The following is a 14566-nucleotide window of genomic DNA, read 5'->3' on the forward strand; positions in this document are numbered from 1 at the left end:
GCCCAGGTGTCAACAGGTTAAAGCCAACACTAGAAACAGGTCGAAAGAATGAGCGTCAGCTCCATGCTATGATTTGAGAAGTGTCTACCAGGTCCTTTGGTGTTTTTCTCCATCCTTCTGCCTGTCTGCCCCCTTTCCACTGCTCCGACAGCCACAAGGGGCAATGTTCCTTTCGGCAAACAGCACGGCACTATCAACATTGCCCTAGAAGGAATAATCCATGACTGTGTACAGTGGATACCTGTTGCTTTTCCCCCTTCCCCCTCATCCATTCACTCATATTTGGAGCCAAATTTCCCTGGGGAAACCCCCTTTCCTTACTGTCTATATTTGTGGAACTAAAACGCCACACCCAACTCCATGGGCAGTCACGTGACCTTGGACCTAACCAGTCAGAGCATTTCATTCCCCAGCCACAATGACTGGCTTAGAGACAGACCCATGACCAGAGCCAAGCCAATGAGCATCAGCCATGGGACTCTTCCTGGAACTACTAGGAAGTGGGCTTTTCCTTCCTGGGGGTTGAGCTGCTAGAATGTTGGCCTGAAACTTTTGTGGCCATCTCCAGAAACAGTCCGCCTGAGGAGGGAAACGGGGCCTGGAGATTCCTGACAGCATCATTTCAGCACTTAGATTCAGCCATGACTCAAACTAGCTGTTCTTCTATACCACTCAGTAATATGTGGCCAAAGCACCCTATTTGTTTGTTTAAGCCAGCCTGAATTAGGTTTCTTTTGCTTGCAAACTGAGAGTGAACTACTAGCACATTGTTGGACCCCAAAATCTGGACCAGGCAGTCTGCAGATCCAATTCTAGTTCATTCTGTGAAGTAGGCATTACCATCCCCAGATTTGAAGCCAAGGGAGGCCATGTGGTTCCACCAGGGTCACACAGCAAGTTCAGCGCTCAGAATCAACAGGTCCTCCTGGCCCCAAGCCTAGAGTTTATTCCATTGCTCTGAGTCGACCTTACATTGGTAAAGATTTGCTTATTAAAACAGACTGTACAGAGAGTGGACTTCAAAAACATTCTAAGGACAGCAAAGTGTGGGAAAAGATCCAGATAAAAGCAACTTGAGAAGCCTGGGATATAATGTCACCAAGTCCTGGGGTGGGGGACAGAGGATAAGTGGATAGAGGACAGTGAAGACAAACTTCCACCAGCCTTAGAAAAAAAAGGGTGGAAATGGAAGGGGGAATTCCAAAGACCCAGGAGGCCAAGTAGAGCAGAGGCATGGCATCTTGGGAGACGGAAGGATGTAAAGAAAGACCTTCACTTATTCCAGGGAGTGCTGACGGATTTCAAGATTGTGGAGCCCTCTGGGGTAGCCTGATGGGAGATACAAGAGTGGAAGCTGCAACTCTTGGCTCATGGAGCACGACCGCTGTGGAAAGAATGCCATCCCGGAACCTTCGCGCCTGAGTCCTCAGTGCCAGGGGCCAGAACCTAGAGGCCAAAATAGCTGATGAAATGGATGGAACGTGATTGTTAAATTATGAGGCACCACAAGAAAAGGGTCTGCCTAAAATGATCCTTAATATTAGGAAGAGTGGAAGAGCAAAAGCCGCCACACAAAGGAGCAATTTTAGTATAGCAGGTGGTTCTGAATGGCTGTCAAGCTTCGACTAACTTGCTTCTGCTGATCGTAGCACCTCTAATGGACAAGAACCAATAATCAGGGGACAGCCTGTGTGTAATTCCTTTATCTGAACCATATCAACTTGAAATCAGTCCTCTTAAGCCTTGAAGAAGTTAGAGAACAATAATGAGTGGAAATTAATCATTTGGTCTATTTTTCTCCTTCTTTGTATAATGAGAGGACCTATCCCATATGGTTCAGATTTGACCGGCCCCACCTAAGCCATAGGAGAAGGGGATGTAGTTGAGGTCTGGTCATCCCTCAGGCCCTGGTGATGAGTTCAACTAATTCAAGCAAGACTGTTATCTGGGATTTGCTATATGGGCTTTGGGAGAAAGAGATCTTTCTTCTCTTGGGATTGCAAGCCATGAGGATGCATAATTGGAGTTAGAGGAGACCCCTCTTTTTCCAGTCTAACGATTAAGCCAGTGCTCAGAAGGAACAAAGCTAATAACTAGAGAAAGAGACAAAGCCCTGACCACATAGCTAGGGTCCCTAGGTCCAGCCATGCCTGAAGCTAACTTTGCACCTGCCAACTACAAGAACCAACAAATTCCCTTTTCACATAAGCTAGGCTTTAGTCACTGATGACCAAAAAGCCTTTCTAAATATAGAAGTGAAGGTTGAACAAATGGTGGCTCCATATAAACCATTCCCTATATAAGGCATACCCCAATTTTTCAAGGTCATACAATGGCCCCATAGAATCTAACTTTCTTGCTCCCTTTGAAAAGTCCAAGCACAAAATCGACAGGACCAGGTAATTATCCTGGATAAACCATGGCCAAACAACTAGAAAAGTGCTGATGATGGCCAACAAACACCGAGGGGTATGGCTGTAATCGGTGCTATTTAAACCACAGTGGAGTATAGCAGGCCTAGGGATGGATGCGGGTGGGGGGAGGTTGCCTCCCCCACAGAAGCCTTTCTCTTCTCGCTCTCTCTTTTTTTTTTTTTTTTGAGACGGAGTCTCACTCTGTTGCCCAGGCTGGAGTGCAGTGGCACGATCTTGGCTCACTGCAAGCTCCGCCTCCCGGATTCACACAAACTGCTGTGATTATAGGCGTGAGCCACCACGCCCGGCTCTCCTCTCTCTTTTTTCTGACTGATGCTCACATCCCTGTGCGACTCTCCATGGTCCCCAGTACAGGGCCCACAGCAGTGCTTTGGAAACTATGGGCATAGTCTTTTAGGTGGGCTGTGCTGTCAATTCAGTGCATTAGCACTGGTAGCTTAAAAAAAAAAAAAGTTTTGCTGAGTTTTGCTGTGAACTTAAAACTGCTCTAAAAATAAAGTCTTTGCAATACATGTAGTAGAAAATATTTGAATGCATACCATCTAATAAAGGCACATACTCTATCAAAAAATTTCTGTCGGGTCCGGGCACAGTGGCTCATACCTGTAACCCCAGCACTTTGGGGGACCAAGGTGGTTGGATCACTTGAGCCCAGGAGCTTGAGACCAGCCTGCGCAACATGCAAAAACCCTATCTCTACAAAAAATACAAAAAACTAGCCAGGCATGGTGGCACATGCCTGTGGTTTCAGCTACCAGGGAGGCTGAGGTAGGAGGAGAATCTGAGCCCAGGAGGTCGAGGCTGCAGTGAGCAGTAATTGCGCCACTGCACTCTAGCCTGGGTAATAGAGTGAGACCCTGTCTCAAAAAAGATTGTTTCAGGTGTATGTGTGTGTGCATCAGTGTGTGCATAGGTGTGTGTGCACACCCTGGGGAACAATATAAAATACATTTCTTACCATGTATATAAAATACATTTCTTACTATGGTCACAATCAAAAAGTTTGAAAAACATTTATCTGAAACTCCCAAAGCCAGAGATATTTTGAAATTCAGTGTATTTTGGAACAGTAACATGGTGCATATTCCCCCAGCAGAGTCTGGGGAAATACTCAGGAATAAAGTACATTAATATTTCTATAATAAAATACACAATTATTTATAGTAAGTGGGATAAACAGATAATGAGTCGCCTCACATCATTTCAGGGCCGTTTTTATCTCCAAATTAGTTTGTGCCTGCTTTCCAAAAAACTTCTGGTTTCCAAGAAACTTCGGTTTCCCCCGCCAAACAAACAAAAAGAATGTAAAATAAACATTTTTAAAATATTGATGACATGTTGAAATGATGATATTTTGGATGTGTTGAGTTAAATAGTCTATTCTTAAAATTAACTTCATCTATTTTTCATGTTTAAAAATGTTAAATGTAATTTAAATTTAAGTGTCATTAAAATTACATATGTGTTTTAAATTTTATTTCTATTGGATAGTACTGATCTAAAACATCAGAGCATTTTTAAAAGTCATCCCTCTGATTAAAACAAAACAAAACAATGTTCAGAGAGAGAAAGGGACTTCATCCAAGTTGCACAGAAAACCCAAATTTCCTATTCCTGCCCAAGGCTTTCTAAACCCAATTTCGAGTAGTTTTGTATCCTAGAGAGCAAAGGAAAGAAGAAAGGTTATTCTTGAATGAGAATTCCATGGGAGCAGTGAGTAAAGCTTGGAAAAGGGCTTTTACATGTGTTGGTCATGATTTACCAAGGTGAGAAGGCTCTAAAAAAGGAAAGTTCTCTCCTCAGGAAAACAGCTGTGCCCTGGATGAAAAAAATGTGGTTACTCCGTGCAGGCTGTACTTTGTTTACATGAACAAGAGCCAGTTATTCATCACAGAAATATTCTAAATTAAACCCTTGAAGCCCCATTATATAAACAAGCTAAAGGTATCACAGAGTTTTGAGTTGGACCATTGTTTTTCTTTAATGTTTCAGCCAAAATTTGTCAAAAGAAACTGCTGATGTACAATTTCAGACTCTTCCAGAGCATTTCATTTGGGGAATAGTTTGCATTTGGCTCTTTAATCAAATCCTCTCTTCCCTTTCTGGCCAGTCTCAAAAGGACGCCTCGGATCCTCACCTCCCTGCCCTGCCTATGCTCCTTGCTATAATTTCTCCAACACTGTGGCCTCCAACTTCAAACACCCTTAAATTTCTTTAGCTACTCTTTCTCTGGTGTAACCACATTCTCTAATGCAACACCCACACACACTCATACTCACTCTGAACTGTTATCCCCTTGACCTTGAAGCCAGGCTTTAACAAGGCCCCAAGGTGTGGTCAGCATTTCAGCCCCTCCCTGTCCCAATCTCACAGTACCCTTGTCTACCCACAACAACATTTCCCAGGTAGTGACTGCATAGCCAATATTCCATGTTGGATATGCAATATGGAATATCCAATATTCCATTGAAAGCAGTAGTGAGTATCGGCTCTCTCTCTCTGCCTGGGTCTTGCTAAGCAATGCAGTGGGGAAGATAAACATGCAAATTCCAATTTCCCCATTTCTAATTTACATGTATTCCTTGAAATAATAAAAGAAGAATGCATGTTGCAATTCTGTTTGCATTAATGTAGCTGTGTCCCTCAAATAGGGTGCTACTAAAAGGAAATGTTTCTTAGAATCAGTGACATTTTAGAATCAACCATTAGTCAATCAGCTCCTGTCCTTCCAACCACGGTTATTTTCCATTCCCTCACAGGGGCTTATTTGCAGTGTGTTAAGTTTCTTTTGACAATACACACTTTCTAAGTGTTTTTAAGGGCCTTCAATGCTAAAATTGTGTCTGTCTCAAATCTCAAACCAGATTCCTACAGTATAAGCATCATGTCTGAGAGTTCAGCCTCCCCAGAACAATCCTAGCTCTGAATCCCAGTGTGGTTCGGGAGTTGCTCACTTCAAAGTGAAGTTGAATTAGAAAAACCTAGGAATAAACAAGCCTCTCTTTTGTTTTCTGTTGTTCTGAATATAATTTGGCATAAAGTAAAGCAAAAATTCAATGACCTCTAAATTCGGCAACAAGGATTAATAGGTTTTATGATGGGTAATTTTCTATTGAAATAAACTAGGAAGATAGAATTACAGTTAAGGAAATAACACAAAATGCTATCAATAATAAAGCAGTCAAAGAAAAATAAGTCTACAACCCAAACAAGGGAAATTGCTTTTATTAATAATAAAGTCAGCCAAATGATGACAAAGGATATCTCACTGAACTCAGACTCATAATAAAACTACATGGTATATCTCATCATCCCTTAGATGAAGAAACAGACTCAGGGAGGTTAAATAACTTGGCCAAAGTCACACAGCCAGAAAATCCAGATCTGAATTCAAATCACTCTAACTCCTTCCACCATCACCTCAGCTGGCCTCCCTTACATTTTCTTCTTTCAATGACAAATAACAATAACAATAATAATAATAATGATCATAAAAACCAGAGTCATTTGAAAATAGAGCCTTAGGCTGGGCACGGTGGCTCACACCTGTAATTCCAGCACTTTGGGAGCCTGAGGTGGGTGGATCACCTGAGGTCAGGAGTTCGAGACCAGCCTGGTCAACATGGCGAAACCCCGTCTCTACTAAAAATACAAAAATTAGCCGGGCGTGGTGGCAGATACCTGTAATCCCAGCTACTGGGGAAGCTGAGGCAGGAGAATCGCTTGAACCCGGGAGGTGGAGGTTGCAGTGAGCTGAGACTGCACCACTGCCCTCCAGCCTGGGCAATAGGAGCAAGACTCCATCTCAAAATAAAAAAAAAAAGAAAATAGAGCCTTAGCAGAGAAGGTATATCTAAGAGACGACTGTTCGCCTAGATTCGTATATACATACAGGAGAATTATGGTCCATTTTGACCCTGGTTATTAGTACAAGTTGTCAGTGATCAAATCATATCCTCTGAGAACAAACAGTAAAAGAAAATGGTAAAAAGACTCAAGAAATACATTACAAGAGGTAATGTAAGAACTGAGACCACTGTGATTAGGATTCCTGGTGTGTAACACTGAGTTGTTCAAACACTTGACAGGTTTATGAGCAAATCCAGCATGGTGATGATTTTGTTAGTATAATATTTGTTAAGCATGGGTGGCCAAACTGCAAACCATAACAATGTTATAATTGGGTTTAAAATGACTTTTGGTATTCAAAAGGCTATATGACTTCTGATAAAGTTAGCTAATAAGAAAACAAATCCACCACTCAAATGCATTTTGTGAGCCCCATGTGTAAACTTTCCTTGTACTTCTTAATGGAGCAACTGGGAAATGAAAGATGGTGCGAAGGAGGCTGAAGGAACATCCACAGACCAGTACTGCTGGTGTCATTCATCTGAGTCATCTGCAAATGGATCAACTTTCCCCGCACCCTGCAGAGCAGTTCTGCTCATCAGAATGAGTTCATGGGGAGTTAGAACTGCTAAAGGAAGGTAAAGGTTGGCTGGCAAATAATGTTTTAATCAAAGCCTTTTCCTCTGGATTTTAGGCTTCAAACAAGTGATCTGTTGGCTTAGTATGGACCTGGACAAAGAAACCCAGATAGTTCTTGGTACACTGTAATAGTATATCCTATCCATCATCTCTTTCATTCATTTAACTAAAGGTGCTGACGTGGTCAGGGCAAGAGGCAAAGGAAGCCAGTGGAAACTCAGAAGGCTAAGTAAACATCCCATCTTAAGGGCTCCTCTTTTGGATTTCTGCCTTGGCCCCTCCAATCCTGTTTTAACTGGTGTCCTTCACCAAGGACATATATGTCACCAAGGACATATATGACATTGCCACCTTACCAGAGCTAAGGACAAACATTTTCCCACAAAGAGAGTGTGATGGTTAATTTTATGCATCAACTTCACTGGGTCACAGGGTGCCCAGGCATTTGGTCGAACATTCTTCTGGATGTGCTGGTGAGGATGTTTCTAGGTGACAGGAATATTTGAATCAGTAGACTGAGGAAAGCAGATGGCCCCTCTATGTGACTGGCCCTCATCCAATCAACTGAAGACTTGAATAGGACCAAAAGACTAAGAGGGAATTCCTCCTGCCTGTCGGTCTGAGCTGAGACATCAGTCTTGTTCTGCCTTTGGACTAAAAAGTTGGCTCTTCTTGGGTCTCAAACCTGCAGGCTTTCAGACTGGAACTCTGATTGGATCTTCTGGTACTCAGACCTTCAGACTCAAACTAGAACTACACCATTGACTCTCTTAGGTTTCTAGCTTGCCAGCCACAGATCCTAGGACTTCTCAGCCTCTATAATTGTGTGAGTCATTTCCTTATAAGAAATCTCTTCCCAAATAGATAGATACCTCGATATCTCAATATCTAGATAGATAGATAGATAGATAGTTAGATAGATAGATAGATAGATAGATAGATAGATAGATAGATAGATAGATAGATAGACGGACAGACAGATAGACAGACCGACCTACTGGTTCTGTTTCTCTGGAGAACCTGACTAGTACAGAGAGCTTCTGCAAACCAAGGAGATAATCTGTTCAATTTGAAATACATTTTTTAAATGGCAAGAAAAATGTTACACAGTTGGAAATTAAACCATTTACCACTATTATTCTGAAACCTAAAACTTCCTAGGTACTTTTATCTCCCAAATTTATTCCAATGAACATAGTTCAAAACCCCACAGATCAGGACAATATCTTGGGGTTGAGGGTCAGAAGTTCTCAGAACTTTCCACATGCATTTTCTTTTTCAAGCAAAATTCCTGCATCATTACAATGATTTCCTCCTGCATTAGTCTGTTTTCATGCTGCTGATAAAGATATACCTGAGACTAGGCAATTTACAAAGGAAAGAGGTTTAATGGAGAACTCGCAGTTCCACATGGCTGGGGAAGCCTCACAATCATGGTGGAAGGTGAAAAGTGTGTCTCACATATCGGCAGACAGGAGAAGAGAACTTAGCAGGAAAACTCCCCCCTTATAATTAAACCATCAAATCTCGTGAGACTTACTATCACAGGAACAGCATGGGGAAAGACCTGCCCTCATGATTCAATTACCTCCCACCAGGTCCCTCCCACAACACGTGGGAATTCAAGAAGAGATTTGAGTGGGGACACAGCCAAACCATATCACCCCCACTTACATATATTCTCTTCTGGTGGAATCACAGGACCAAGGGTCAGAAAATCAACATGAGCAGAAAAAGGTGGGCAAGTTTCTGTCTGGGAAGGTGTGGAATTCAGTAGCATTCCTGTAATGCCTTAACCTATCCCAGTCCAGAAATATCAATGAGACTGTCTGGAGATTGTTCCCAAACTCCGGGCACCTGACTTTTAACACAGACTCATACCCTGAAGGTACCCTGTAAAACGTTAAACCGAAAGCCGGGGGACAGTACTCACTCAAGATCAGTACTCCCATCAGACACAGGAAACCTGAACAGAGAGGCTAGGACACCTCTGGTGCTGGGTTTGCAAAGTGATGGAAACATCTTGGCTTCCCTTTGGCAGCTACGAGGTCACATCCTATAGTGGAGCCCTGTCCCAAGCCAGCTACATCGTTGTGCTTCCCACGGCTTCATTTCCTTGGGAACTCACTTCTGCACCAAATATGTATGGAGCACCTAACATGTGTTAGACCCTTAGATTTTGTCACTAAATAAAATGGGTATGGCCCTCTTGGAGTGTACATCCACATGTCTCAGTATAGGTTATCCTGCTATAACCTAGAATTAGGTTATATTAGCTTTTCTGCACCTCTTGGATGAGGCTCCATGCAAAATTTCTGGTATTCTTCTGCGATTCTCTATGCAAAAATGGATGGTAGGATATTTTACTATCTTACCACGACAGCTATTCAATTTTTTCTTTCTTATGATAAAGGGTGGACCCTGTATAGTGGAGAGAGCTGGATTGGAATTTAGGAGTTCCACTAACAAGTGCTGTGAACTTCAGCAAGTTTTATCGCTTCTTTGAGCCTTGGTTTCCATGCCCATAGAAGTGAGGGAGAAATCAGATCTATGTCTCAAGGTTGGTATGGGAATTAAATGCAATGACACATGAAAATTGCCAGACACAAAGCACTATTCAATACATGTTATTACTACCCACTGCAGTGGGTTGATTTGTGCCCTCCCCAAAAAAGATATGTCTAAGTCCTAACCCCTAACGCCTGTGAATGTGATCTTATTTAAAGTTGGATCTTTGCAGATGTAATTAGATTAAGGATCTTGAGATAAGGTTATCCTGGGTTTAGGGAGGGCTCTGCACCCAGCGACTGGGGTCCTTGTAAGAGGAAGAAGAGGGAGATCCAAGACACAGAGAATAAGGTCTTGTGAAGACAAAGGCAGAGACGGGAGTGATGCCACCCTGGCCAAGGAACACAGGGCACTCCCAAAAGCTAGAAGAGGCAAGGAAGGATAGTTCCCTAGAATCAGCAGAGGGAGCGCGGACCTGCTGACACCTTGATTTTGGACTCTGCCCTCCGGAACCATAAGAGAATAAATTCCACCTGTTTTAAACCAACATAAGCTGTCGTGGTCATTTGTTATGGTAGCCCCGGAAAATTAATACACCCCCATCAACTCACGGAGCTAGAGTAGAATAGGGGTCCGTAGCTTTAGGAAGAAAACAAAGAGCCCCTGTAAGGAACAGACTTACAAAAGATTAACCTCATTAGAAAAAAATCTGATTTTCCACTGGATTATAAGAATTTGATTATATTTCAAATCAGTCAGACAAAAACTTCTGATTTGAAAACATTCACTCTGCTGAAACAAGGCCCTCCATCTGTGCCATAGATAATTATGAATAACACTCACGAAAAGCTGACGCACAGTGGGCCGGGGAATTCCCTGGTGGCAGCCCGACAGGTGGGGAGGGACAGCTGCATGGAGCCCACCAGAGAGGACTGTGCCCAGGCTGCTCTCCGCTGGGGTCGGCCCCTCACTTGGTGACAGTGGGATCCGAGCCTCTCAGCACTGGGCGTCGTCATCTTGCAGGAGCAGGTTCTGAACACATAAGCAGCAAACTGGGGAAACGGGTTCCTGGGAATCAAGGAGAGGCAACTCTTGAAATGTATGCTGGACTTAGAAATTCCAAGTTGCATCTCTTGGATGGTCCTTGAGCCCACCGGCTTCTTTACCGTAACATGTAGCCTGCAGAATTCACGACACACGCTCTGAGGCAGCGTTTCACTGGCCCAGAATCAGGCCAGCGGTCCACTGTGCCATTCTTGAGAGCTAGTCCGCTGGGCCCTCACCAGCCCCAAGCAGGAAGAATGAGGCTGAGCCCTTGCTCTCTGATCCTGGCTCCTGGTCCTTCATGCCCTGTCGCGGCTCCAACCAACATTTACCAAATGCAGAGGCACTGGGCTGGGCACTTGTGTAATTTAATTAAATTTCATTTAATCTTCCACAAGCTTGTGAGATGAGATGAGATTTTATTAGCCAATTGTAAAGCTGAGAATGCTGAGTTAAGTAACTTTCCTAACGTTATAGATGAAACAGGTGGCAGAGTTAAAGTCAAAGCCTAGATCTTTGGCCTGGCATTCACTGCTCACCCACCACCTCTGGGAGGCCTTCCTTGATCAGTCCATTTGGCTTCTGTCCTCCAACATTCAGCCGGTTCTGTTCATATCATGAAAGAACAGTGCTGTTGTGTGATGGCCTGCTATGCCCATTCTACTCACATTGTTTTATTTAATCCTCACCACAACCCTATGTGAAATATAGCATTATCCCCATTTTACAGATGGGAAAACTGAGGTCTCTGACAGAGAAAGTGCCTTGCCCAAAGACACATAGCTAATGTGCAGAACAGGATTTGAGCCAGGATCCTAAAAGCCCATTCCTTTTCCCCAAACAGAACCCTGTCTGTGCTGCTGACTCAATAGCAAGGCATCTTTGAGCAGCAATTGTTGCTGTGGGGCTAGTTAAAGGTTAATGTCACTAATATTTCATTCTTTGAGTCCCTCTTTGCTTGCTGACATTCTCCTGTGCAGGCTGCAGCTTTGTTAAAACTCAGTCACAGCTGTGACAACTGCAGAGGGTCTGCCCCTGGGCTCCTGCTGCTGTCCAGGTCAGGGAAGGGGCCTGGCAGTCACCCCTCATGTGGGCCAAGATCCTGGGGGCCTGTATCCATGGCCCAGGACTGACGCAACAATGTGCCACAGATTAAATGGCTTAAAACAACAGATGTTTATTCTCTCGCGGTTCTGGAGGCTGGAAGTCCAAAAATCACAGGTTGACAGGGTCCCACTCCCTCTGGAGTCTCTGGGGAAGAACCTTACTTGGCTCTGCCTGGTCCCTGGAGTTTGCTGGTCATCCTCAACATTCCCTGGCTTGTGGCTGCATCCCTCCCATCTCTGCCTCTGTTGTCACATGGCATGACATGTGTCTCCCTGTATGTCTCTGTGTCCAAACTCTCTTCTTCTTATAAGGACACCAGTCACGGGATAAGTGCCCGCCCTAATCCAGTATGACCTTATCTTCACTTGATTACATTTGCTAAGACCCTTTTCCAATCACATTCCAGGGCTTAGGACCTGAATATGTCTTTGAGGGGAATACAGTTCAACCCACAACAGGACACAGGGAAGCCCAAATTAATAAACCCCCTTCTTTGAGCCCTCTCACCTGTGGCCCCTGCACTGAGCAAGATCCTTCCTCCTCCACTACCGGGGGCTGAGCTGATTTACCAGGCTGGCTACAGAGGGCCAGGAATGGGAGGGGGAGCCTTCTGAGTCCTCATGCTCCTTCTCGGGTCATGAATTTTGTTTTGTTTTAACATCCATGTTCCAGACCAAACCTTTCTTGGGGGCCTTCAAGTACCTGGAGGCCTCCCAGTTGAGTCAAATAACATGACAGGATGAAGAGCCAGAGTCCGGGGGCATAAATGTGCTAAGTCATTGGTTCAAGACAGGTGGTAAGTCATATGCAGCCAAGGGCTGGCACCCCTGTGCACCGTGCTTCCAGACTTTCCCCAGCTCTGTGTACCCTAACGTTCCTTAGCAGTCAAGGTCTGTTTAAGGCCTGCCTCTCCTCTCCTACTTCCCCTGGCCCAGAAGTGTCTAGGTATGGACATTGTTCTCTTCTGGTATGGACATTGTTCTCTTCCATTCCCAACCCAACACATAATGAAGGAACCCCCAGGCATACGCTCGTGGCTCCTCCAGGGAGTCTAGTTGGTACTGTTATTCTTGGTGATCCCTGGGCACCAACCTGAGAGGAAATATAAATGAGGCACCAAACTCCCAGTCATTAGGCGGCCATTCAGATGATCCAGAATATGTTTCAAATAATTTTTTTAAATTTTACTAGAATGAAAATATAAAATTTTAAATCCTCATAGAGAATTCCTAGAAACAAATAATATCTAGGATCAGGTTGAGAAAGATAATCTTTATCCTGTATAGAAAACTACCTACAGTAGCCCCAATGAACTGGTCCCCTTCCTCAGTGATACTCCCCATGAGGCTCATGGCCCCTACAAATGCCTTTCTAGCCCAATTTCTTCCAAATCCAGTTACCATGATGGATCTAAGGGGAAGCCTTTCTTTGACCGCCCTTACTTTTCTTTTTTCTTTCTCTCTCTCTCTTTTTTTTTTTTTTTCTTCTGAGACAGGGTCCTACTCTTCTGCCCAGACTGGAATGCAGTGGCATGATCATGGCTTACTGCAGCCTTGAACTCCTGGGCTCAAGTGATCTTCCTGCCTCAGTCTTTCAAGTAAGCTAGGACTACATACAGCATGGGCCACCATGCCCAGATAATTTTTAATTTTTTTTTGTATAGAGATGGGGGGTCTTGCTATATTGCCCAGGCTAGTCTCAAACTCCAGGCCTCAAGTGATCCTTCTGCCTTGGCCTCCCAAAGTGCTGAGATTATAGGTATGAGCCACTGCACCCAGCCCATCCTTAATTTTCTAGATGCTCATCACGTACTTGTAACCATCTCTATCTTTGGGGCTACAATGGATAACAGAAGTAAGTGTGTTCCTAAGATAAATATTTAGTGAGTAGATTCATTAATTACAGAGAAGAGCTGTGTGCCCTTCTTCCCAGTAACAAGATGCTACTTCTAACCAAAAAGCCAAGACTGTCATATACACGCGAAATACATGAAATACGTAATGGAGGCAGGCATGGCTGTAAAAGGCATGCTTGGTAGGGATTCTGGGAAGAGGAATTCCACAGCAGACACCAGTGGATAGTGCTGTGCAGCGTACTCAAGACCCAAGGGCAGAGATGATCAATGGAAGGGCAGTGCAGGACCCACTGGCTGTGACCATGTTATTTATTTGTGCCCTACACACTTCCTAAAGGATTTCTGAAAATGGAAAGAGAAGACCAAAACCCGAGCCTGAAGAAGGAGGAAGAAAATATACTCCACACTTCAACTAGAGTTGTAAAGAATATGAAATGGAGCTCCACCTTTCGAGGCAGTCAAAGAAGGGAGGTAAAGGAAGGGAAGCAGTTATTCTTATCTGATAAGAAGAAACCTACCAGTTCTTCAGGGGTGGCCATTTTCTTTCTGATACTCAGTTGTAAGAAGTATTCCTTGGCCGGGCGCGGTGGCTCACGCCTGTAATCCCAGCACTTTGGGAGGCCAAGGCGGTCAGATCATGAGGTCAGGAGTTCAAGACCAGCCTGGACAATATGGTGAAACCCTGTCTCTACTAAAAATACAACAAAATTAGTCAGGCGTGGTGTCGCGCGCCTTTAGTCTCAGCTACTCAGGGGGCTGAGGCAGGAGAATCGCTTGAACCCAGGAGGTGGCGGTGCAGTGAGTTGAGATCACGACACTGCACTCCAGCCTGGGTGACAGAGTGAGACTCCTGTCTCAAAAAAACAACAACAAAAAAGAATTCTTCACATTTGACAAATCGAGCCTCCTCCATGTGTTTTCATATTAACGCAGTGTCAGGGCCGGGCTGGTCAGCTAAGATGGCTGGGCTGCACCACACCAATGAACAAGGCCCCAAATGTGTGGGAGGTGAAGGCTAACACATCGCTTACTGGCTGAGCTGAAAGGAAAATAGAGCTTTGGGTGACTTCCCATCTCTTCTGTGTAACAGGAGCCTTCTTGACAAAAGGCAAGAAGACAAATAGCCCTT

General features: G+C 44.2%; 1 protein-coding gene across 54 annotated transcripts in view; it reads right to left on the reverse strand.

Moving 5' to 3' along the window:
• The window catches only part of AFAP1L2 (actin filament associated protein 1 like 2), a 124451-nt gene that overhangs the window by 71949 nt on the left and 37936 nt on the right, over nt 1-14566 (reverse strand). For 7 of the 54 annotated variants that reach the window (XM_047425875.1, XM_017016814.2, XM_017016830.2 and 4 more), the window contains exon 2: nt 10275-10499. The exons of 45 other annotated variants lie outside the window; for them this stretch is intronic. The gene's annotated coding sequence lies outside the window, so the exon portion shown is untranslated. The remainder of the gene's footprint in view (nt 1-10274; nt 10500-14566) is intronic. 2 more of the 54 variants (XM_047425870.1, XM_047425874.1) reach the window with 1 other exon arrangement.

Source organism: Homo sapiens, chromosome 10 (assembly GCF_000001405.40).
Source record: "Homo sapiens chromosome 10, GRCh38.p14 Primary Assembly".
Lineage (NCBI taxonomy): Eukaryota > Metazoa > Chordata > Mammalia > Primates > Hominidae > Homo > Homo sapiens.